Genomic DNA, 26780 nt, shown 5'->3' with positions numbered 1-26780 from the left:
TGTCATTTAATCCCCAATTTACAGATAAGAAAATGAAGGCTTATGAGGTCATGTAACTTGTTCAAGGTCACAGATCTTGTAAGTCTGGCTTGAGCCCATGGTCCTTACTCCTTTAAGGCATTCTCTATAAACTGTAAAGCAAAAGATGAGGGGCACTTGGGTGACCATTCCCATAAATGCTACTATGTGGTATATATTATGCAAGGGGCTGATATTCCCAAAGAATACTCATTTCTCAAATGGCGCAAAAATATTAATAATCATCAATACTAATAGCTACCACCATTGAGCAGTCCCTATATGTGCACAGCTTCTGGCCATTTGCTTATTAGTACAATAGGAGGTAGGTGCTTTTTCTCATCTCCACCATATAGACAAGGAAACTGAGGCAGAACAAGAGACAATGGCTTATGCAAACTCAGACAATAGAAAGAGAGTAGTTGGGATTTAATCCAGGACTTTCTGACTCCAAACCCATGCATGAACGCATACCACAATACTTTATTATCTTAGAAATAACAGGAAAAATGTGGGCTCAGTGGATGAGAACTCCAGGAAGCTTGAGCAAGGGCTGCATTTCTTCTACTACACCAAAGCAAGCATGGGTAGGTAGCAAGAGAAGGTGATGCGTGAAGGATGGATCATACTATGCTCTGGAAGCATAGACCTGCCCCCAGTTTTCCACTGTTTTCTGAATATGCCACGTGATCCATGACTCTCTTGACTTACGCTATTGCTTCTTTCTCAAAAGCCCTTTCCACTCTCTCCCACCTCCCTCTACTACCTGTTTGATCAATTCTTCTTCATCTTCATGACAGTTCAAATTATCGCTGCCTCTGCAAATTATCCCCAAGCTTCCCCAAACTCCTCTCTGTCACCTCCAATAGTCCACTTCATGAACCCCAATTCTATCTAGTTCTAGTCTCCTTTCGTCTAAATTTCTCTAGTGGAGAGGGGAACACACTAGTTCTCTAAGACGTTCCTTAGGTAAAAAGAGCTTTCAGGGTCAAATATAGTTGGCGAGTGCTGCTAACTGTATGCTGCCAAGTCAGGGAAGTTTACAAAGAGACACTTGCAGAGTAAAGGCCCTGAGAAGTCCCGCAGTGAAGAGAACAGCATTTCGTATTTGACAATGGAACGCTTCCCCTCCCAACCAACTTTTCTTTGGCAGTAACATCCCGATCATGGAGCAGATTGCTGCAGTTATTTGTTTGTGGACCTGCCTCCTCTACTTAATTGTGAGTTTTCTTCAGAGATTGTTATTTTATGATCTCTAGATCTCCAACACTGGGTTAATGTTTATTGGGTTGAATTAAAGTGGTTTCACAGGCAAACCTAAGCAGAGGCAAAGCTGCCAAATCCTGTACGCAGATGCCACATAGAAGGAAAGCTTGTCCTTCTTTCCACCCTCACTGCCCCACTGGGCATTTGGCAACCTTCACACGATCAAATAATAAGCTTCCTCGCCATCAATCTCCATGGATGTGGGTGCCCTCGGGATGTGACAACTCATAAAAATTGTGGTTGAACACATTTTAGCCTTTCTTTCTAAATTCCCAGACTTTGTCTTTTTGAGCTGTCTCCAGAATCTTCCCAAGGGGGATTTTCCTTGTTCCTGTAAACTAGAGATTTATGTTCCTCATGTGGACTTTTCCCAGCTTAGCTGAATTCTTAGTTGTGGGTGTGTTCCTTCAGGCGGAAGTGTGTGAAGCAGAGGACGTTGGAGAAACTGCTTTGTAGTGAGATTCTTAGACTAGTTCTTACCTGCGAGGAATAATTTGCAAGGTGACGTGGTGTAGTGGAAAAGACGCTGGCTTCTGGAATCAGAAGAGACTAGAGTTTGCCTCCTGTAGCCCTCTGACTCTGGGCATGTTCCCCAAACTTTCGGATTCTCCTCCACATCCTTACCTGCAAAGTGGGAGTGACCACATGTGTCTTGTAGGATGTGGAGAGCACAGCCGTTATTGTTATGCATTGTCTTCTCTTTGGATCCTGAGTCCTACTGTTAAGGTCTCCTCCCCTCTCATCATCTCTTCACCACCATCATCAATTCAACTCACTTTTGGTGTTTTTTTTTTTTTTTCTGCATCCCTCCTTCCAGCTGTTCCAACTTCATAACCTTACCTTTCTTCCTTCATTCATGTGCTCGATATCTTACTTAACCTGGTTCTCCTTATGAATCTTTTTATTTAAAAATCTCAATTTCTGTGTATTTTTGAAAGAAAGTCTTATTTTGTAGCTGTAGGTATTAGTGGGCTTAATTAAAATGTAATCAGTTGAATTGATCCAGCTGTTAGAACTAGGACTTTTGCCAGAAAACAGGTCAGGACGTATGTTTTTAGTACTTTCCCCCACAATTTGGCATGACTTTGATGGCTGAAATAATGTTGGGCCACAGTTGTGTCACTGAATGCCGGCCCTAAAGGGGTCTTATTGCCTTGCACCTAATAGCTTTCAGCAAAAGAATTTGGAAAAAGCACATCAAAGCAAACCATGCAAAAGCAGAAGAAAAGAAGTGGCTAAAATCAAACAATAAGGACTAAAAAATGATCAAAATTTGGTTAAGTAAACTTAAGAGATTATTGTTTAAGAAACAAATCTTAAAAGAGCAAGTTACAGAAAAGCTTAACAAAGAAAAAAATGAGGAAATCCAAATACCCCAAGTTAGTGGTGAGAAACAGGATATGAAGATATGAAGGGGATATTTAAAGTTATAGGAGTGTTGTATATATTTCTGCATCAAGATTTCTCAACCTGAACACTATTGACATTTTGGGATGGATAATTCTTTATTGTGGGGCCTGTCTTGGGCATTGTAGGATGTTGAGCAGCATCTCTGGTCTCTACCCACCAGATGCCAGTAGGACCTCCCACCCCTAAGTTGTGACAACTGAAAATGTCTCCAGGCATTGCCAAATGTCCCCTGGGAGGCAAAAATCACTTCCTGCTGAGAAACACTCTTCTATATTAATCACTTTTTAAAAAATGTAATGACATGACAAATTTTCTAGGGAAATATTAATAAAATTCATTAAAAATTAATGTATGTGTGTAAGTATACAGGTATGTATGTGCCTCTATACATGTAGAGAAACCAGGGAAAACATTTGCACAACTATCAATATGTCATCTTTAAAAAACAAAATCCTGAGTCAAAGGAATTTATCAGGGAGGTACTTTCCATCTTCAAGAGATAAGAAGTCATCATTCTCTAGAAACTGCCCAGGTGACCAACTGTCCTGGTTTCCCAGAGTGGTTTTCTGGGATGTGGGGCTTTTGGTGATAAAACTTGGAAAATCTTAGGGAAATCAGGACAGTCCTAAAACCTTCCCATAGATAATGGCAGAGAATACACCAGTGCAGCACTAAAATGAAAAACTGCAGGCCACACCCACTTATAAATATAAATAAGGACAAAAAAAATCGACCTTAAATCATGCTGTATATAAAGCTAAAGTTTTCATTTGTTTGCTTAAGAAGCTCTGTTCAGATAAAATCATTTGTGAAGTCTTAATTTGTTGCAACAGTGATACTGTGAATAGAACCTCCTTCTGGGTCTTCTGAGTCCCTCTTTTCCAAAATCCCAACCTCTCCTTCTTTCTTCCCCAATCTTTCCCTAAACCCACTCTCACTTATTTCCTGAGGGGCTCCATGGGACTCCCAGTGCCTTCTGGAGCACAACTGGAAATCCTACATTAGAAGGATAACCACCAAGGTGAAGTAGGGTCTATACCAGGAATATAAGATGGTCCAACAAGGTTATTTTGACACAGATCAAAAAGGAATACTTGGTAAATTCAAAATCCATGTGATTTAAAACAAGAATAATAAACAGCTTTCATTAAACTAGAAGTAGAAGTATGCTTCTCTAACATAATACTGATTTTCTTTTTCACATCAATAGAAACATCATTTATAGTGGAGGCCTTCCCATTGAAAGCATAAATAAGGATGCTCATGATTACTTTTTAGTGATTTTTAAGAAGTTTTAGTCAATGCAATAAGGCAGGAAGAAAACTACATAAGATGAAGATAAACAAGAAATAGAGACATAAAAATATAATTATTTGCAGATGATCTGATTGAATCAATGGAAAACTTTAAGAATAAGAGAGTTAAAAAAGGAAACAAAATCTTCTCTAGTTTAAAAAATTAGCCTAATAAATTTTGAAAAAAGTTTTCAAAGAACTCATCAAGATTAAGCAAAAATGATCTTAAAGTTAAAATTAAATGAGAGTAGCCATAAAGTTTTTTGTGAAAAATAAGAGAAGACTTATATTACCAAATTTAAAACATATTATAAAGCTACAGTAATTAAAACAGTATGGGTCTAATGACAAATAGACAGATGAAATTCAATGAATATAAAATTCAATGAATATAAAATCCCATGAATCATCTCAAGCACAGATAAGAATATTTTATTTGTTTGCTTAAGAAGCTCTGTTCAAATAAAATCATTTGTGAAGTCTCATGATAAAGGTGTCAGTTCAAATCAATGGAGAAATGATCAGCAGGTGAAGAATAATGCTGTGACAAATGATAAATTATTTGACAAAATAAAACCCTTACTTTATGTCCTGTAGTAAACTTAATATAAGTAGATTGAGTCACATATAAAAATTGAAATTATAAATGAATTAGAAAAAATATAGATGAACTTTTATTGAACTCAGGTTGGAGGACCCTTTTTTAATCATAAAAGATGAAACTACAAGTTATATATTAAACCAAATAAAAAATTAAAACCAGAAAATATACAAATCAAAATAAAGAGGACTGTAAGTTGAAAATATAGACATTATGGAAGTAAAATGATTAGCGATTTTATTATATGAAGAGTTAGTGTAAATTAATAAGAAGATAAATGTATAGATAGAAAAATCAGGCTAGGGCTATGAATGGCCAATTAAAGTTATAAAAAGATAATCAACAGCAGCATTATAATAAAGTCAATGCAAATTAAAACAAGAAGATAGATACTGGTTTTTTGCCTATCAAATAGAAAAACAATATAGAATAATAATTATTGAGGTGATGGGAGTAAGAATCAGATTATCAAAGATATTCATCCAGATATATATACAAAGATGGTCATAAAATTACAATAGGGAAAAAGGAAATTAGCTGTTCAGCAGTAGATTCTTACAAAAAAAAAGTCATAATGCAAAAAAGGACAATCACAGCGGGGCATGGTGGCTCACACCTGTAATCCCAGCACTTTGGGAGTTGGAGGTGAGCAGATCATGAGGTCAGGAGATCAAGACCATCCCAGCTAACATGGTGAAACTCCGTCTCTACTAAAAATACAAAAAAACTAGCCGGGAGTGGTGGTTGGCGCCTGTAGTCCCAGCTGCTTGGGAGGCTGAGGCAGGAGAATGGCGTGAACCCAGGAGGTGGGGCTTGCAGTGAGTCGAGATCACCCCACTGCACTCCAGCCTGGCCCACAGAGTGAGACTCCATCTGAAAAAAAAAAAAAAAAAAAAAAAAAAGAAAGAAAAAAAAAAGACAACACATATAGTGATTAAAACCATGATCTTAAAGAATAGAAAGAAATATTGGTGATAGATAAAATGAAAAAAAGTTACAGAGTAATCTAAAGAGCGTGATAACATTTTTTGCCACAACCCCAAATATATAGATATCTACAACCAAGCAAGAGCGTCAAGATGGAAGAAAGCATATAGTGCCCATGGTTTTCTGATTGGTGACTTTTATTTTCTTCTTTGCACATTTGTTAATGTCCTGAATTCTTAAGTGTTGCTGCTTTAGTCATAAGAAAAACATTAAAAATGTTATAAAAATAATTTCAATCTGGCTGATCAACAACCTGACTGTTCTTTGAGCAGTCTTCATTTTTAACACATAATGATTCACCTATGTTATTTAAGATTTGTCAAATCTGTAGGTCAGGGATAAGCAGAATGTTTAGTGGGATGATGAAGGCTCAAAAGAGATTCCAATCCATAAATATTTTCCTATGGGGGCTTCTCAGTGCATTTGAAATAAATTGTTTTAGATTAAAAATTGTCCTTTCCTTTCCCCTCAAAATTCAGATACCTCAGAAGAGGTAACAGTATGAGACCTCCAAGGTGCTCAATAAATATTGGTTGACTTGAATTGAATCGAAGGCAGTGGCAGTACAAGATAACTTTGTTTATGACATCAGTTTTATCTAATAGCTGTAATTGATTTTATTTCTGGGGTTACTCTGTAATTGGGATGTGAAGAACAAGAGCACATAGGAATGCTCAGTATAAAGGTATAGCCACTAAAAAATAGGTAAAGAATGGAATACGGGATGCATAAAGCACATTTCTCTAAGCACATAGTTTTTCTCAGATTCATCCTTATAATTTGGCAGATAGACACTTGATTGGTTGTTGATCCTAATAAAATATTCATTCATCCATTTATTCATTCACTCATTTATAGCCCTAAGAAGTCCATGAGCCCTGTGGTTCAATCTCTAGTCTCTATCACTGTTAATGAAACAAACAATCAAAAATTAATTTCCTATAACTCACATTCTTTATTTGTACTTCCTGTACACTGTGAAACAGACATAAAACCTATGGGCCATGGACCATTTCTCTTATTTCTATTCTCTCTTCTTGTGATTCTGTATAATAAAATCTGAACATTCAGTAGAGCAACAGTTGAAGCCTCTAAGAGAGAAAGGGAAATAAGCTGAAGGGCTAGACCAGAATTCTCTTTGTGTGTAGGCAGAAGGACAGATGCCTGCTATGTGTTAAGCACTGTTGGAGGTGTTTGAGGTACTTCACATCCCTTCTTAATTTTCTTTTTTTTTTTTTTGGAGATGGAGTCTTGCTCTGTCACCCAGGCTGGAGTGCAGTGGCGTGAACTTGGCTCACCGCAACCTCTACCTCCCGGGTTCATGCAATTCTCCTGCCTCAGCCTCCCAAGTAGCTGGGACTACAGGTGTGTGCCACTAAGCCCAGCTAATTTTTGCATTTTTAGTAGAGACGGGGTTTTGCCATGTTGGCCAGGCTGGTCTCGAACTCCTGGCCTCAAGTGATCTGCCTGCCTCGGCCTCCCAAAGTGCTGGGATTACAGGTTTGAGCCACTGTGCCCAGCTTCTTCTTATTTAATTCTCATACTAACAATACAAATGGAATAATTTCATCCTCATTTTGTAGATGATGAAATGGAAGTTTATATCCAACATATATACTGACTTGCATATATCTAATTTAGGATTAAGATGAGCATACCTCCCACTTTACTTCGTTCAGTCCCACAGTTTACTTCTGTTGCCTTGATATAATTGGTAATAGCATCTTTGGATGATTGGATAAAGAAACTGGTATTTATATGCAGTGGAATATTATTCGGCCATGAAAAAGAATGGAATCATGTCTTTTGCAACAACATGAATGGAACTGGAGGCCATTATCTTAAGTGAAACAACTCAGAAAGTCAAATATCATATGTTCTCACTTATAAATGGGAGCTAAATAATGTGTACACATGGACATAGAGTGTGGAATAATATTGGAGACTTGGAAGGGTGGGAGGAAGGGAACGGGTGAAGGATGATAAATTACCTTGGGATGAGAATTTATATTGTCACCTATTAGAACATTACTAGCTTCAAATTACAAGAAGCAAAGATTCAGAAGAATTAGACATCAGGGATTTTACAATCTCGTAGACAAAGAAATGCAGTTAAGATGGTTCCAGGGTTGAGTAATTCAGCAGCTCAACAATATCATTGAAGTCAGAAGCTCCTTCTGTCTTTTCCTTCACCAGCCCCTCTAGGTTGCCTCTGCCTCTGTTGGTTGTGCCATTTCAGGTGTCACTTTCTCTCATACGCCCATGGCTCAAGCCAGAAAAATGTCCATTCCTTCTGTGTTTATTTACAGAGCAAAGAAACCTTTCCAAGTAGCTCCTCGCAGATGCCTGCTCATGGGGGTCACATGTTCTCTCTTCATCCAATCATTAGCAAGAAAATGGGAGGAGGAGTTACATGATTGGCTTTAACCAATCGGGATTTTTTCAGCAACACAGGAGCAATGAAAGAAAAACTGGGCTCTTCTAGAATGGAAGCTGTGGAAAGGGGTGGTTGGGTAGGCCAAGCATAGCAACTGCTACAAACTAGTAAGTGAGGAGAGGCCAGCCAGTTCTAAAGGACCACGGAGACTACTCTTTCCATCTCCCCAGCCGCCCTCCCTTAAACACTGTGCTCTCCAAGGGGTTATGTCTGAAGGTTGGGCTTGGTGGGGTAGGTCACTGCATGAGAGAAAATGCAAACCAATAGCTATAACAATGTAATAAGGCCTGTAGGAGCCTACGAAGGCACTGAAGGCGTTCAAGAAACAGTGGCTTTTTTACAGTGTTAAAGGGTGAAGAGGAGCTTGCTCTATAGCTGTTAGTAGGGGCCAGTGCTGGGTATTTCAGCTAGAGGGAGCTGCGTGTACAAATACCTGGAGATGAGAAAGAGCCTAGTGTGTTCACAGAGCAAGCGGCACTGCGGTAGTGATAGAAGAGGAGCTTGGGGAGGTGAGCAGAGCCACATCCCAAGGGGCAGGTGTAACTTGACAAGAGGAGGAGATTTATTCCTGGGGAGTCATTGACAGGTTTAAACCTGAAAGTGGTCAGACTTCCTATTGTTCCTCTACGGAAGTTCTATTAGCAAGGAGTCAAGACTTCCAGGGCAGATTTCTTTTCTTTTCTTTTCTTTTCTTTTCTTTTCTTTTCTTTTCTTTTCTTTTCTTTTCTTTTCTTTTCTTTTCTTTCTTCTTTCTTTCTTCTTCCTTCCTTCCTTCTTCCTTCCCTTCCTTTCTTTCTTTTCCCTTCCTTCCCTTCCCTCCCTTCCGTCCTTCCTTCCTTCTCTCTCTTTCTTTCTTTTTCTTTCTTTCCTTCTTTCTCTCTTTCAGATGGAGTCTCACTCTATTGCCCAGGCTGGAGTGCTATGGCATGATCTCAGCTCACTGCCATCTCTGCCTCCTAGGTTCAAGCGATTCTTCTGCCTCAGCCTCCCAAGTAGCTAGGATTACTTGGGTGGTGTGCGCCACCACATCCAGCTAATTTTTGTATTTTTAGTAGAGATGGGGTTTCACCATGTTGGCCAGGCTGTTCTCCAACTCCTGACCTCATGCGATCTGCCTGCCTGCCTGCCTTGGCTTTCCTAAGTGCTGGGATTATGGGCATGAGCCACCGGACCTGTCCCTTTTATTTCTATTTTTGTTTAAGGGGCTGGGAATCCCAGCTGGTGTGTTGTAGAGAGATTACTCATGGCTAGGGGTGAGGTGCACAGCTCTGAAAATACTTAATTTTGGAACTTTTACAGAAGAAGGACATCTCTTTTCCCCGTCTGTGTATTCTTGAGACTTTGTGGCAGAGCCTGCTATATGTTCACAAAAATTCTCTTCTTTCGCCTCCTGGGCACAAGCTACATTATGTTCCCCAGTGTCTCTGGGAGTTGAGTAAGACCCTGTGACTAAGTTATGGCTAATGGATGGTGGGCATTAGTGATATTCCCAACTTCCAGGCCTGGCCCCTAAAAACCTCCCACATCATCCTTCATGCTCTCTCTTCTCATCTACTTGCCAAAAGAAGAAGACTTTAAAGACATAGAAAAGGCAGAGCTACTAAGTGGAAGGATTCTGGGCCCCTGAATGACTGCATGGAACAGAGCCCTCTACCAACTCGCATTGTATTTAGTTTTATTGTGATAAACCACTGAGACTTCAGAGTTTTGTTTTTACAGCAAATAAAACATACCCTGCAGGTGTTTGTGCACTCTTGAAATACGAGGGAAAGTGGCAAAACAGCTTCTTGATAAAGTCACAGAAAATATACTGAAGTATGAGGAAGAGTACATTGATGAAGACTCAGAGGGGCTTATCTGTGAAGCAAAGACAAGGAAGTCTCATCTTGCTTGGCTGTGGTGAGGGCTGCATGATACCATGTATGTAAAGCACCTAGCACGAGTTGTCTCTTAATGGAATAAGTTAGGAAAAGTGTTTTGGAGTTGGTAGCTATCAGTTTTATAAATATCTGTAAAAAAGAAATAATAAGAATATTTACCTCGGTGATTTTTTGTAAGAATTAAAAGAGATGATGCTTTTAAAGCACTCACTTAGTACAGGGCCTGTAAAATAATATGGAAGCTTCTATAATAGTAATGACTGCTTCTTATCGACATTACTGCTGTAAGACATGACTGGGCTGTGACAGCAGGAGGTTTTAGGAGGGAGAAAGCGTTTCAGGCTGGAGCTGTGTTGGGAGCGATGGAGGGAGGGGCAGAAAAGCAGGGGGGTGGCAGGGGGAAGGGGAGATGAGATGCATGACACCAGGTGGAGCAGTTGAAAAGCTCTGTTTACAGCCCGATGACCACTTCTGCCCAGACTGAACCTGGATCATTCCAATTGCCACTGGGCACACATCTCTGCAGCATGCTGGCGCCTCATCATATCTCGAGTGCTGTTTCCAAGAAGCTCAAAGGGCTTTCTGGAAGTTATCTGCTGGCTTGACCCAGCAGCCCCATGTTATCATTCCCATCTCACAGATGGAAAAACAGGACACCGAGTGGTAAACCTACTTACCGAAGATCACAGTGTGAGTCAGTGGCCTGTGTGCAATCAGATTCTAGATTTCTCCATCGCAGGCCCCTCCTGCGGCTCCTCCAGGCTAGCTTTGGGCTGGGCCGCCAAGCAGGCTGCATTTCTTTTTTCTCAAAGAGAGCCACTAAGCATCCAGATTCTGCATGTGATTTAATTATTAGCCAGATCCTGATCTTTGATGACAAGAAGTTTGATTTACAGACTAAATATTCTCCTAGGTGCTGGCGGACATTCTATACTTTTGTTCCTAGCATTTATTATAAAATTGTTCATATAAACAGGAAAGCTGGAAGAATTTTAGTCAATACCTATATGCTTAGGATCTGGATTCTACAATAGACACTTTGTTTTATTGTACTTTATTAGCTGAACTACTTACTAAGCAGAGAGGTGAAGTTGTCATCTTTGACAATGATAGTCAAAGTAAGTGATGCTATTAAAAATTATTTAAATATCTGCAAATGATTAAAAAAATGGTTTAAAAAAATTTAAGTCTTTCAACTCACCGGTAGACTAGTATTTGCTATCAAAGTGAGGTTACAGTAGATTTCAAGAATGTTTGCATGCTTAGTATATAACCTAGCATGAGTCTTTCAAAATAAAATGTCATGGCATTTCACTAGATTGGTCTAGTTTTAAAAAAGAGAAGACCCCCGTCTCCAAAACAAACAACAACAAAGCCCAGAGATCTGGAACAGGGAGTGTGGCCTACCTGCAGCCCTGGAATAAAGATACACTTACTTTAAGGATACTATATATATTTAGTGACTTAATACACATTTAGGGGAAGTGTGTATTAAGTCAAAAGATAGAAACTGCTTGACTAGAAACTTGAAAGGGCCAAATAAATTGTTAGATTAAGTGTCTTCTTTTATGGTTAAGGCCCAGAGATGGCAAGTCACAGAGCAAAGGCCTTTCACTGACAGTATTGGACCAATAACTTTAACTTTCTTATTTATCTATCTATTTTTAGAAATAAGATCTCACTATGTTGTTCAGGCTGGAATGCAGTAGCTTTTCACAGGTGCGATGATAGTTCACTATAGCCTCGGATTCTTGGCCTCAAGTGATCCTCCTGCCTCAGCCTCCCGAATAACAGACTACTGGCATGCACCACGGTGCCCAACTAGACCAAAACTTCTTATACTGGAGGCAGAGTTGGTGAAAAATACTCAAATGGCCATAGCATTTTGTCTCTCTCCCTTCCCCCAATTCCAGCCATCCCGGAGGCTTCAACACACAGGCTCTTTCTTTACAGGGACATGTGAGCTTAAACAGTGAGCATTAGTTATGACTGCTGCCACCAGAGTAGCTGCCAGAAATAGCCCTTTTGGGGCCTGGTGTGGTGGCTCACGCCTGTAATCCCAGCACTTTGACAGGCCAAGGTGGGTGGATCACCTGAGGTCAGGAGTTCAAGACCAGCCTGGCCAACATGGTGAAACCCTGTCTTTACTAAAAATACAAAACTTAGCTAGGCATGGTGGCGGGTGCCTGTAATCCCAGCTACTTGGGAGGCTGAGGCAGGAGGATTGCTTGAACACTGTAGGTGGAGGTTGTAGTGAGCTGAGATCGCACCACTGCACTCCAGCCTGGGCATCCTGGGCAACTCCATCTCAAAGAAAAAAAAAAAAAGAAATATCCCTTTTGGGGAGTTGGTGTGGGGGGAAGTGTTGTCTGGGCAAATTGGCTTGAATGTGGATCTGAGCTGCTTTCATGAAGCAAAGCTGCCCAATGAATGTGCTTTTGGCACCACCTTGTTGGCCTTCTTGGCCCAGTGGCTTTGCCCCAGATGCAGTTTCTGAGATGCTGACGCATGGCAACTCCTGAGCCCCCTTGTTGTTTAACTACTGATACTTTCTGGATGCATCCCCTGGTCAGAAAAATGAATACACAAATAAACCCTATGTCACTGTTCTTCTCCCATCGCTCCTGAATTTATTCAAGTGCAAAAGGGGCTGGTTCCACTGAGATCCCTGCTTGCATGTTTGGTGCAAAGCAGACCACCAGGCCAGGACCCATTCAGATAAATCTAGCCCCATCTCTTGACCCCCAGAGCCGTCTCAGAAAGGGTGGTTTATAAGCTCCTGGCAGAGGCTTGCACTGCAGGAAGGAAGCAGCAGAAACTCACATCCCTGCTGTATCAGTTTGTCATCTTTGGCCTGTGCAACCCTCGGAAACCTTAATCTCTCCAGGCGTCAGTCGGGATTCTGTCCCCTGCACTAAACTCATTTAAGGCAGGGGAGTGTGTATTAATAATGAAGATAACCAAACAGCCCAGGCTGTGATATTCCCTGACCTGCCCCCAGGCAGGCCTTAATGACTGTTTGTGAAGTGCGCCAGAGCCTTACATGAAAGGCACAGGTGAGCACAGTCCTGCCCCCTGAAGTCAGGACACCTGCTGAGCCTAGCCCCTTGTGGGGTCCAGCTATTCCTGCAACCGCTGGCTCTGAAGGCCTTGTCCCTGCAGGCGGGCCGGCCATGCAGAAAGTGCCACAGGATGCTGAGATGGGCAGGGGACACGCAGAGTTATGGGGAGGAGCCCAGGGCGAGAAAAGAAAAGGGAAGATACAGACAAATGAGTGAAAGAACGGAGAAGTGAGAGGGAGTTGGGGACGCAGAAAGAAAAGATGCAGAGAGAGGAGGACAGGCAAGGACTCGGAGAGACAGGGAAGGGAGAGAGAAGGGGAGAGGCAGGTCAGAGTCAGAAAGATGGAGAGAGGGAGAGAAGACAGACACAGGGAGAGGGGAGGGACTGGCTCCAAGTTAGGTGAGGAAGAGAGAAATAGAACAGGGAGAGAGGGAGAAACTAAGAGGGGATGCTAAGAGAGAAGAGAGCGACAGAATCAGCAGGAGGTGGAGAGAATCAGAGAGGTGGGGAGTAGGAGACAGAAAGGTCAGGAAGTGCACAGAGACAGGTACAGGAGACAGGGAGCAACTGGAGACACAGACACACATGCACACGCACACACACACGAACACGCGCGCACACACGCTCGCGGCGAGGGCTGGGGAGGGAGGGAATTTAGGGGAGAGGCGCAGACAAGAGACAGACATGGGCAAGTCACACACTTTCGGGAGAGACATCGCAGAGGGAGAGGGAGAGGAAGGGCAGGGGAGGGGAGGGGAGGGGAGGGGAGGGGAGCCCGCTCCAGCTGCCCACCCATCCCCCGCCCTTCCGCAACGCCAGCATCCTGCGCCCCTCCCCCGCCGCCTCTTATCAGCGGCGAGCGCGGCGCGCGGCGGCCTTGGGCTCGAGGAGGCGGCGCGGCGCGGGGCCTGATTGCAGGTGCGCCGGCGCCGCCGAGTCTGCAGCGGCCGCTCAGTGGCCGGCCCGGCGGCCGGGCGGGTGGCGGCGGCAGGCACGGCGCGAGCGAGGGGCGCGGGGGCGCGGCCTCCCCTTCGCACGCAGGGCGGTAGAATGAGCCGCACGGCCGCGCGCCGCTCGCCCCTCGCCCCGGGCCGGCCGTGAACTTGCCGGGGCCGCCTGCAGGGAGAGGCGGGCCCCGCTGGCACCTGCCGCCCTCCGCTCCCAACTCCGTCCACGCCCGGGGCTCGCAACCCACGCGGACAGGAGACTGCTGGCTATTGGCACTGTCACGACGCTGCTGTGTTTGAGCAACATCTATCTTGAGAGAGATTAATAAAAACAGCGACGTTTTCCAAAGATGCCACTGTTCACAGGACATCCATTGTTTTTTACTTGCTTGGCTGAAGTTAGCAGAGCCTTGAATAGCAGGGCCTACCTGGCTTTGCATCTGAACTTTGCCTTTTTCTAACTGTGGCCTTGGGCTAGTGTCTTGCCTCTCTGCATCTCTATCTTCTCCCCTGGGAAACGGGAAGAATAAAGGTGTCTGCGTCACAGGGATGCCGGGAGGTTAAAGACAGGCAAAGATATAAGTGGTTCAACAGTCCCCAACACATAGAAGCTGTTCTGTAGGACCAGGCTGGTGTTATCATCATTAGTGGGGCTGGGGAAGGGTTGACAAAGGAGCTGGTGGACATCCACCTCCTGCTAACCCCAAGGATCGGTGCCTCGGAGTCTCCTTCCTCTCGGCTGCAGGAGGCCAGGAGTCCTGGGTGTGCCTGCTGGCCTCCCTCGGGAATGGCCAAGTCAACTCCTGGCTCAGGGTCCCATATTCCTTCTCAGAAAAATGGGCCTTGGGCCATCAACCCAAGACTCTAATAACCTGTCTTTCCCCGAGGGTTGCCGAGGATCCAAGGGCAGGGTGGCTACACGCCTGATTTGGTATTGATATCTGGTTCCATCTCTAAGAGCTCTGTAGCTTTGGACCAGGTCATGTCACTTCCCCTAAGGCGCAGCTTGGCAATAGCAGCAGTGGTGCCTAGGGGCGTTGTGGGGATTATCTGGGTGCTGCAGCCCTGGAGCTGGGATTTTTCAGACCTCCGTGTGTGAAGTCCTGCAAGCTGAGAGCCTCCAGATGACCCAACTTAAGATCCACCCAAGCATGCACAGCCAGGACCCGCTCTCCCAGCTGCCGCCAACCAATGATTGGGCATGGCAGAGGTGCTAGAGCCCAGCCTCTCCTGCCTGGTTTGGGACTGCTCTGATGGCCGATCTTTGCGGGCCACTCCTCATCACCAGGCAGAGACTTTCTCGGAGTGGACCAGACCTATCCTGCAGGCTCTTCCTGCCCAGTCCGCCTCCCTTCTCTTCTTCCCCTGTGGGACCTGCATCCTGATGTGCAGGTTCTCCTGGACTACTCCTGCTTCATTCCCCTTTATCCTTCACAGACATCTCCCTCAGTAAATGTCTCATTCCATCTAGACTTCCGCTTCCCAGAGGACTGAAACTAACACAATGAATTAATATGTAAAAGACTCACATACAAAGCCCCTAGTAGGTGCTAGGAACTATTATTATTATTATTACTATTATGATGATGCCTTCCTGCTGTCAGCATTCTAACTGAATATCCTGAGCAAATGAGCTTTTTCTTCCTTTCTGTCCCATTTTCTCTCTATTCTGCAAACACTTCCCGAGAGACCCTCCCAGAAGCCAAGCTGCATGCTTCCTGCTGGATTTACAGAGCTCAGCCCCTGCCCTCTTCCTGCCCAGCAGGGGAGACAGAGAAGAAACAAGGATGATAAAAGCTTGGATAGGCAGAAGCAGCAAAAGACAGCAGGCTGGAGGAGGGAGGAGCAATCAGGGAAGGCCTCCTGAAGGAGATGATGTGTGTTACGTCATGAGAGATGAATGAAGTTATTCACATCACCCAGACAGAGGGGAGGATCCATACCCAAATAAGTTAGGCAAATGAAACACAAACCTATGGTGGGGCCAGGTGGGAAGTTTTCCGTTGGGAGGGTTTGAGAGTCTTTCTGGAAAGGGTGACATTTAATTTGACACTGTGGTATAAATACGAGGGCTGTGTTGCTGAATGGTTAGATGAGTGGGGGTCTCAAACTAGTCTGCTTACCAGAGCCAGGCAGGTCAGAGACATGAGTGATGGGGAATAAGGAGGCCCCTCATCTGCCAGGGGTTGGCTGCTCTTCATTTATAGTCAACGGTTGCCACATGGAAATGCAAGCCCAGGGGGCTAGATTTTCTGATTTTGCAAGGAGAGCTGGATATTTTAATGTGAAATTTCCCGTTTTCTTTTATCTTGATGACTCAGCAAAAAAAAAAAAAAAAAAAACATTAAGGGAAATGTAAATAAAACCAACAAACACTGAGCAGGTTGAACAAAACATATCCACGTGCCAGATTTGGCCCTGGAACCACCAACTTGAGACCTCTGGGTTGAAGCCTCGATGTTGGAAGAGAGGGCAGACCCAGATATCAGATCAAACAGGACCTTTGATGGACGTTCAAGCATTTTACTCTTCAAGTATTGACAAGGCCTCTGACCACCTAGCCTCCCTTGAATTTGAGCTCTAAGCGTTTTGGGATTTAGCATGAACTTTAACCCTTCTCTTAAAATCAGCTGCTCCTGAGACAGCCTTGTGCAAAGGGCATTGTGGTTCAAACAAGGAGGCCCAGAGGGTCCTAAGGCTGCAAACACCACGTCTGAGCACTTTCTTCCAGCTCCTGGTGGGTTTGCCACAGGGCAGGACGCGGAGCTTTCTAGAACCACAGGCTTGACTCCCATTTCTCCCTCACTAAAATGATGGCTCTTTCCTTAATCCTTTCTTGGGGCTGCCCCATCTTTTCCAGTTTTCATCATCATTAGGACTGGGGCATGCTGACCCACACACTGAAATGAAGCAAATCAAATAAAATATAAACAGACCTGTCAAAATCCTTTCAAAACAGCCAAAGGGAAGTTCCCCCAAATTAAGGCAGCGCCTAGGAGCACAGTAGTCAGAAAGAAAACCTTTTAGCTGCAACCAAGAACATTCCCAGCTGAGGTATTTCATTATAATAATGGCCTATCTTGGATAGGCAATTTAAGAGAAAGGTTAGTGGCTGAATACAGTTCTTGCCCTAAGAATGCCAGAAGGCTATACAACAGGAGCCTGTACATTCTTCAGCTGGAGGCAGGGAATTTGATTTGATACAGGTTTATTTCCCTGGTTTTGAAGCCTAGGCATTGCAGATAGTCTTTGTTTTCAGACTTCCAAGGGAGGCTTGGCTGACAGACTCCGATGGGAGTCTTTGATTACTTCCAACTACCCATTAGTTAATTGCTCAGAGGTGAGGAGCTTACAGGGCAGGTCTCTGATGATCCTCGGGGTACCCTACTTGCAGTGGGATTAAGTCAGTGAGATGGAGCACACGCATGCCTCCAGGTCCTTGTGAATCCACACAATCCTCTCTGTGTGTCCCAGGGAGAGCAGACTCCAGCAAGAGCCCAGCCGTGGCAGTGTGGTTCTGGGGCCTCCAGAAGGGGCGACAGGCCTTGAGAGTGTTTAGTTAACATGGAGGAGGGAGACTTCCATTCATGGATGCACGCAGGGGCTATTTACTGAGGGCCTACTCTGTGCTCCCTGGGCGTGGCTGCAGGCAAAATGGAGTTGATGCTCTCAAGGACTTGGTTCTTTCCTGGCAAATGGCTATTAAATAGATACTTATACAAATGGCTTGATTCTAGGTATGACATATGCGGTAAAGTAGGATAAGGTGTGCATTAATTTCCTATTGCTGCTGTGACAAAGTACTACAACTGGGTGGCTTAAAACAACAAAAAAATATATTCCCTTGCAGCACTGGAGGCTGGAAGTCCAAAACCAAGGTGTTTGTAGGGCAGTGCTCCCTGTGAAGGCTTTGCAGGTAAAATCTTTCCTTGCTCCTCCGGCTTCTGGGGAAACCCTTGGCTGCATCACCTTCTGCTCTCTGTTGTCACATGGTGTTTTCCCTGTGTGTCTGTTCTCCTTTTCTTATAAGGATGCTAGTCATGTCAGAGCAGGGCCCACATGGTGACCATATCTTAACTTGATTCCATCTGAAAAGACCCGATTTCCAAATAAGATCAAATGCTTAGTTCCTAGGGTCAAGACTTCAACCTATCTTTTGGGGGGAACGAAATTCACCCCCTGCTAGCATACTGGGAGAACTGATGTCGTTTTGTGGTGGTAGGTCAGGGGAGTTGTAAGGCTTCTCTGAAAGGCTGAAGCCTAAAGAATGTATAAGAATGTGATGTTTGTTTCTGAGGAGTGGAAAAACATTGAGGTTAGGAAGGGTTTGCCCAGGCAATAAAGACAACCAAGGAAACAGGAGAAGACCCAGTGATTCTTTCCAAAGTCTTCCGAACTTGTGTCAACAACCTTGTAGCTAAATCCATTCTTCCGTATCACACCAAAAATATTAACCGGATGCACTTTTACTTATTCCTAAGAAATTTCTTCATGCTAGGCTTGTGTCTGGCCTTGTACCTGGACCTCGGGTAAAGATATTAAAATCAAACCAAGGCAGAGAAATTAAAATCACATGGAAAGTGTTTTTGTGGATGTCCTGAGTGAGAAAATGGAAGAGACGAAGATAAAAGTAAGAGGTGTTTCAACAAAGGGGAGAAGAGACTAGGCTTTGGAACATGGAAAAATGGGTTTGAATTCCACTTTTCTTGCTTCTGAGCCTGCATGAACTTGGCCACAGAAGGTAACCTATCAGTGCCTTGGTTTCTTATCAGCAAAATGAGTTACTAATAACCCCTGTGACTCCAGCTTGCTGTCCAGAATAGGTGAGTTACTGTCAGCAAAAGGCAAAGTACTGTGGCTGACATATAGTAAGCATCCAATAGATGGTGATTACCATGAAGACTTGACCAGGGAACTAAGGAGAAATTATCCACACATGAGATGTTAAATTCTAAAAGACATAGCCAAATAGCAAGATGGAAATAGAAGTGATAGCACAAAGCAGAGAATGATTAGTTGTTCAATGAATTGAACAAATAATAATTGGCATAAGAAAGAGACTGAGCTTGGGAGCGGAAATGTTTCTGATGAGATGGACTCACAGGGTCAGTAGGATTTAGTTATGCAGATGGCGGCAAGGTGAGGGCGTCCCTACAAAGATAATGGGGTGAACAGAGTCATGGACGAGGCAAGTTTTAGGTGTGCTTTGAAAATAAGGAATTAAAAAAAAAAAAAGAAAGAAAAGAAGGAATAGTTTGACTGGAAGCAGATGGCTCAGTTGAGAAATGAAATCCTGGCCCATGTTTGTAAAAAGGAGCTTGGGGCTTATAGTGGTTTCAAAACACAACCACAAATTCTTGCTACTCTGCCTATCAAGAGGTGGATGCTAATTCTGTCCCCTTGGATATGGAGGATCTTTGTGACTTTTGGTAGAAATGATGCTATGTGACTTCTGAGGCTAGGTGGTAAGGTCATAAGGAGGTGCAGCTTCTGCCTGGCCCTCCCTCTTGAGACATTCACCTTTGGAGCTTTGAGCCCATGGTAGAGGGAACACAGAGAGAGATGACAGAGAGCAGAGATGTCCAAGGAGCCCGAGCTATTTGAGCCCCAGTTGTTTAATCTCCCCAGCCCAGATGCCACATATGTAAAGGAGAAAGCCTTCAGGATGCCTCCAGACCCTGCCACTATCTGACTCTAACACAATCCATCCTGCTGAAACTAGTTGCTTCCTAGAACCATGAGAGATGAGAATAATACATGATGGTTGTTGCTTCACGTCACTAAGTTTGGGGTGGTTTGTTATGCAGCAGGAGATAACCAGAGCAGGACTGGACTACGAAAGTCAGCTTGAAGGGTTTGAACAGTGGCCAGTGGGAGTCACAGAGGGTGTTTGAGCTGTGAGCAAGATGAACAAAATGGTGCTTTAGGAAGATTAATCTGAAGACTTCCACCAAGTCAGTGTAGAATAAGAAGAGATAGATGTGAAGACAACTGTTAAGAAGTGGTTAGAGGGTTGAAAGAATATTAACTGTAATTCTTAAATGGATGAATCTGCTGAGATTCTGGCTATAACCCAAAACATTTGGAACAGATTATTTTTTCACCCATTCAATTGTAATCCATCCCTGAGAGTTGAGGATGTGGCCAGGCCAGGGCATTTGTCTGCAAGTAGGGTCCTGCCTGCTGCAGGGTAGGGAGTGTCAGAATTGTCCAAGGACAGATGACATGGAGAAAAATCATCGAGATGGAGACAAGGATGCAAGAAGGCATTGTGTGAGGTCTCTAGGCCTATCTGTACCTCTCGCCCAGCTGCCGGATCTGGGGTTGCAGGCATGAGTAGTGTCTTAAGTGAGTTTAGGATTAGCAGGTAAATCTTGGTGAAATCTCAAGTGTGTAATTTACCACATGAATCACCTGGTAGAGCATTAACATAAAACTTACAGCCTGGGGTGGCAATTAGTGCAATTAAACAGCCTAAGTTGCTTTGGAGTTGAAGGTACCTCCATTCATAGGCAACCTAGCAGATACACTGGGGGAAACTGGAGGAAAAAGTCCTCACAGGTAATTCCAGGCTGGAGTCCTTGGGAGCAGCCACAGAATGTGCGTGACCCTTTTAAAAAATGTAGAGTCATTTTTGGGGGAGGCAGGCACAGGGTTGGAGGGACCTCTCGTGTCTTAGACTTTCCTCTCAAAAGGTGCAGCAATTGACAGAAGCTGATCAAAAGCATTGACCAGGACAGTGATTCTTCTAAGTGTGGTCCAGCTCTGCTGGCATTAGGATCATTTAGAGGCATGGCTTCCAGATGCAGAGTCGAAGGCACCACCCCAGACCTATGGCCATAAGAGTGGCTGGGAGTTAGGCCTGGGAATGGCTTTTTTTTCTTTTCTGAGACAGGGTCTTGCCCTATTGCCCAAGCTGGAGTGCGGTGGTACAATGATGGCTCATTGCAGCCTCAACCTCCTGGACTCAAGTGATCCTCCTGCCTCAGCCTCCTGTGTAGCTGGGACCACAGGCACATGCCACCATGCTCTGCTCATTTTTTAAAATTTTTTTGTAGAAACAAGTCTCACTTTATTGCTCAGGCTGGTCTCCAACTCCTTGGCTCAAGCGATTCACCTTGGCCTCCCAAAATGCTGGGATTACAGGCAGGAGCCACAACACCTAGCCTGGGAACGACGTTTTTAACAAGCACCTTAGTGCTTGCTCTGAAATTTGAGAAACCTCATCAAGTATTTTAAGAGAAAATTTCTTCCTGGATTTCTATCCTAGTTTGCACATGAAAAGAGTGTTTAATTTTCTTTTTAATTATAAAATTAACACATGTTCACTGCACCCAATTAGGAAAATCTGGTCTGCTTTTAATAAGTAATTAAAGATGGAACATTCACGGAATGATTCATCTGGAAATGCTCACTGGATTGTCTTCTACTTACCAACTTACATCTTTGGATAGTGATTTACAGCTAGGTTAGCTAAGGGAGTGAGAGGGAAGAGCATTTCTAACTTGCCTAAGTGGCCAACCACAGGAGAGCTGCCAAGCATGAGAACTCTAATTTGAACCCTTTAGAAGTTCCTGGGACAGGCCAGGCTGGAACAGCAGAGCTATAATTGAATGGGTGAAAAAAATAATCTGTCCCAAATGTTTTGGGTTACAGCCAGAATCTCAGCAGATTCATCTATTGAAGAATTATTTATGATGTGCCTACTATGTGCCAAAGATTTCTGAAACACTGGAGATGCAGTAGCAGACAGATCTTGTGATTCCCTCCAATTCTGGATTCTGGTGGGGTGAGGTGCTCACGTTGGTTGCAACCTGGCCCAGGGAAAGTAGGTCACAAGAAGAAAGCAAAGCCACATTTATTGACCTTTTCAGGAAAAGCTTCCCCTTCAGAAGAACTTTCTCAGAACCCTGGACAAAAGACAATTTCGTGAAATGCTGTTACAGGGATTTAAGAATCTCCCATACTTTGTAAAGTGGGGGTTGACAAATAGCGATCAAGAGGCTAAATCTGGATCATTGTCTATTTCATGGGAACACAACCAGCCTCATTTATTTATTTACGTATTGTCCAAGGCTGCTTTTGTGCAATAGCAGCAGAGTTGCATAGTTGAGACAAAGACCCTGTGGTCTGCAAAGTCGTAAAGAGTTACTATCTGGTCCTTTCTGGAAAAAATTTGCCAAGATCCAACTGGAGAGAATGCCGCGTGCCTCAGACATTTAGATTTTCTAGGCAGTCCATAGGATTGGGTAAGAGAGTGAAACATCAGGTCAGTCTGGTGCTCTGGAGTTTAAGAAGAGGAGGGACCTCCTTCTGCCTCTGCAATCTGGCATGCATCTCTCTTGCTAGGTGGCATTCTTGGGCTTGTTGAGGTGAGATGACAATTCCATCAAAGATCACACACTTTCTGTGCTCTGTGGACTTCCCTTCAGGCCCCCAAGTGATGTCTGGGAGTCTCACCTTAATCCACCAAATAGTCCTGAGTGGGAATTTAAGCCTTGTTTGGTTCTTGAGCCCCGTGCTGCAGATCTGTAGATAACATGGGAGCACAGCTGCCCTTGGGGCCTGAGGTTGATAGAGATCAGGCAGAAGGTTGTTTGGGAAGACACAAGGTAGGGCCATAAACCATCTTGGCAAGACTCCCATGCCAGTTACTGGTTGGATTCTTCCTTATCCTCCATCTGCCAGGGTTCCTCTTTGTTGGGGGCTGTAATTACAGGTAGCAGGGTTGCTAAGAGGCTTTTAATCCCTAGATTTACTGGTTGATTTTATGCTCCTAGGTGCTTTTGCTCTTTTATTCTCCAGCAAATTGGCTAGCTGCACGAGAAGTTCAAACCCTTGGTGTATTCTGCCTCCTGGGAGGTTAGTGATGCTTTGTGAAGGCTGCCAGCCTCCAAGCAGACAATTGAATTGCCCCAGAGCTGAGTTTTCATCAGTTTTCCAAGCTCATGACTCAAAGGGCCTTGACCAAGGGCATGGAGAGGAAAAAGGAACAGGGCGGACCATGAGCAGAGGTTTAAATCTCACCTCCACCTTTGGAAATTGTCTGGCCCTGGGCAAGGACAAAGCCTCTTTAGACTTCAGTTTTCTTCTCTGTAAAACGACCGAAAAAGGTGGTTGAGAGGATTGAATTAAATGCCATATGTTGCCAGCTCTATTGTAGGTACTCAGTAAAAGTGAGTCTTTTCCCCTGTGGCATCTTCTGTTCTGAAACCTTATGTGGTTCCCTTCTACTGACCTGATCAGACCTAAGAAGGAAATGAACCAGTGGAGAATGGGGAGAACAGTGTTTCAGACAGAGTGGACAGTCAGCACAAAGGCCCACGGAGAGTGCGGGGTGTTCGGGCAGCACCTGGAAGGCTGGGATGACCAGGAAGGGAGACAGGGGTGGGAATTTTGGGGTGGGCAAATCAGCAGGGGCTGCATAAAGAGTTTGGATCTGATGAAAAAAAAAGGAGATGCTCTAAGCAGGAGAGCAATTTGATCTTGCAACAGCTTAAGATGATTGCTGTCTGCTGCAACGTGAATGCTGGTGCACCCTTTTTTGTAAGGGCTTGGTGGATAGCTTTGTCCAAGTGACCTTCCTCGGTGCCTGAGGTTTCAGAAGCATCGTAGATCTGAAAGGGTTGGGGAAAAGCCTGTTCTCTTTCCAAGACCAAGTTGAGAGCCTGGGATTCTTGGCTGGTGCTGCATAAAAGCTCTGTGATTCTGCAGGAAAGAAAGGCAATGGGCACAGGTGGTGGTATCTTGCCCATGCTCTTCCTGCTGGTTGCAATTGTCTCCATGACTTCAGCCCAAGGAGAACGAAGCACACAGTGTGGACAGTCACTAAAAACCATGCTGTGTTCCCTGAGGGCTTTGGAGTCAGATCGATCTCACCTTAAATTGTGGCCCTGCCACTTTCTAGTGTCAGATCTTTTTGAGTCTTGATTTTTTAATTTGTAAAATGTGAACAACAGTAGCCTTGACTTCATAGCATGGGTCTGAACATTGAGAGAAGTATTGCATGTCATATAGTCATTCAAATACCTGGTATGCACTGCTGTTGTTTTTATTAGCTGCAAGGCTACTGCCACAAGTTTTTCCTTTTGATAAATTTGAAAAATAAAGGACAAATATAATGATAGTTCCTGTATTAATCAGGAACTCTAGAGGGACAGAACTAATAGGATATCTACATATGTGTGTGTATGTGTATATATATATATATATATATATATATAGAGAGAGAGAGAGAGAGAGAGAGAGAGAGAGAGAGAGAGAGAGAGAGAGACAGAGAGGACAGAACTGACTAGTCAGTTCTCTAGAGGGACAGAACTAACTAGATATATACTAGTTAGAGGGACAGAACTAACTAGATATATATATATCCTATTAGTTACATATATATAGGAATTTATTAAGTATTAACTCACATGATCACAGGATCCCAAAATAGGTCATCTGCAATCTGAGGAGGAAGGAGAGCCAGTCTGAGTCCCAAAACTGAAGAACTTGGAGTCCGATGTTTGAGGGCAGGAAGCATCCAGCACGGGAGAAAGATGTAAGCTGGGAGGCTAGGCCCGTCTCGTCTTTTCACGTTTTTCTGCCTGTTTTATATTCTAGCCATGCTGGCAGCTGATTAGATGGTGCCCACCCAGATTAAGGGTGGGTCTGCCTTTCCCTGCCCACTGTCTCAAATATGAATCTCCCTTGGCAGCACCCTCACAGACCACGCCCAGGATCAATACTTTTGCATCCTTCAATCCAATCAAGTTGACATGCAGTATTAACCATCACAGTTCCCAACAATTCCAATGTCCAGAATTTTAAGAAGTGTTAATACTTATAGTTTTACATGTTGATTTGTGAAGTCTCATGGGCTTTGAATGTGAGCCCAGTGACAAGGAATAAGCTCAGATTTTATTCTTAGATGGACAGCTTCCTAGCTGTTGTGAATCTGGGCAATTCATGTCACCCCTCTAAGCCTATTTCTTCATCTTTAAGAAGGCAATACCTCCTTCGGAACAGTGATAATTGATATTTATAAGGAATGTCATGGAAATTACATTTCAAATAGTTTAGAGTTCGGGCATGTTATTCTAATTCCTTGAAAGATGGTCATGTATACAGCAGATAATGTGACAGGACAGCATGCTGTATGCTTAAATGTGGGGTTCAGTATGCTAAGTGTCCGGTGTGGCCCCTGCCTGGCATATTATAGGTGTCTGGTTTGAGTTCCTTTTCTTTGGCTGATGTGAACTCAGTGCCTGGGTTCTGAAGTGAAGGCTCAATGTTCTCTCTTTGACACCTAATCCTCCTTGAAAACTGGGCCATAGTTGATCTTTCCAGAAAGTGAAAGGCCCTTTGCTCTGAGTCATGGTATGGTTGGGATGTCAGCATTGTCCCCTGGAGCCGGAGGACCTGGGAGAGGAACTCCTCCCTGGCTCAGGGCCTGGACCACTGCCAAGGAGGATGTGTCAGCTCGGGGGCCCAGGCTTGACCAGGGAGAAGGCTCCCCTTTGCAGTCCTGGTGCCAAGCAAGGTTCACTGCCGTCACTTGCAGGCCCCAGAATGGTTCATTGTGGAAGACTTTCCTTCTAATCTCCCTGAGCCACTCTTGCCCCTCCTATCCATTCAATGAGAAGCTTTTGAAAAGCAAGACCAGATCATACCACTCACCCAGTTTCAATCTTCTGGTGGCTTCCACCGATCCTGGAGTAAAATTCAAACTCCCATCATGGCTCATGCAGCACAAGGCCACATAGTATAGTGGTCCAGGCCTTCCAGGGTATCTGTTTTGCTCCTCTGTCTAGACCAGTGTTCTCAGTGGGGGGATTGTGATTTTGTTGCTGGGGGACAGCTTGGCAATGTCTGATTGTAATAACTTGAGAGAGTATGATGCTATTGACATCTAATGAGTAGGGGCCATGGGTGCTGCTAAACATCCGACAATGCACAGGGCAGCCCCCAACCACAAAGAATTATCTAGCCCTAAATGTCAATAGTGTCAAAGTTGAGAAACTGGTATAGACCTCACCTCTTCCAGGAAGCCCTCCCCGAGCTCTCTGGGTTGAGTAGATACATCCCTCAGTTCCCACACATCCCTAATCATTCTCATTGCAGCCTGCATCAGTCTGCATGGTCCTTAGATTCCAGAAGAGCCTGTATGTCATGGCATCTATATCTTTGTCTTCCTTCCCCTCTAGCTTGTGAATCCCCCTCTCCTTAAGGGGAACGGGGATCACATCTTACCCACAGTTGGGTCTCCAAGGTCTAGCATAGAACCTGATACATTGTGAGCACCCAGGATGTTGAATGAGTGAATGGATGAATGAACGAATGGAACAACAGTCTGAGACTCAAGAAGATGCATCTTCTTCCTCGTCCCCATTGTATTCCCACTGGGTGTGTCATTAACCTTGCTCTCAGTTTCAATCCCTCCTTCCAAATTGGCTTAATAAATTATCCATATAGCCTGATCCTTGTGAAATAGCATGAGCTAGCTTGGATGGAAGTGTACTGAGCTCCATGTAGGAGAGAAGATCAACCCTTTTGCACTAAGACAATATTATTTTCATGTGTTACTCTGATAATATCTGTTAGCCCTCTGTGCCTAAGGGAAGCCCTGGATAAAGAAAGGCTTTGTGCTCTGAATAGCAGAGCAATAGTCTTGTGGATCTTAATCTCTTATCTGTGACTTTATTTTGGAAAACTGTGCTCCAAGCTCCACCCTTGTCCCCAAGTCCATGCTAATGCCTTCAACAAAGATCCCTGGAAGGGGAAATATAATTGAGTTCATCCTAGCCAGGAATCCGCACTCCCTCTCCCAGTGGGTGGAGGGACTTGTGGGTCCCACCCTTCATTCATTCTGGTACTATCAGCTCTCTACACACC

General features: G+C 44.1%; 1 long non-coding RNA gene across 2 annotated transcripts in view, besides 1 other annotated feature; it reads left to right on the top strand.

The window, feature by feature from the left end:
• The window catches only part of LOC105370003 (uncharacterized), a 389555-nt gene that overhangs the window by 297118 nt on the left and 65657 nt on the right, over positions 1–26780 (top strand). The window lies entirely within an intron of this gene.
• Positions 13923–14032: a silencer, noted in NCBI's record as "silent region_4898". NCBI's record gives its function as "represses an Ori minimal core promoter by ATAC-STARR-seq in GM12878 lymphoblastoid cells {active_cell/tissue: GM12878}" and the evidence as "EXISTENCE:reporter gene assay evidence [ECO:0000049][PMID:35858748]".

This window comes from Homo sapiens, chromosome 12 (genome assembly GCF_000001405.40).
Source record: "Homo sapiens chromosome 12, GRCh38.p14 Primary Assembly".
Lineage (NCBI taxonomy): Eukaryota > Metazoa > Chordata > Mammalia > Primates > Hominidae > Homo > Homo sapiens.
Note: the sequence above shows the minus strand (reverse complement) of the source record. Positions and strands in the feature narration are given on the sequence as shown.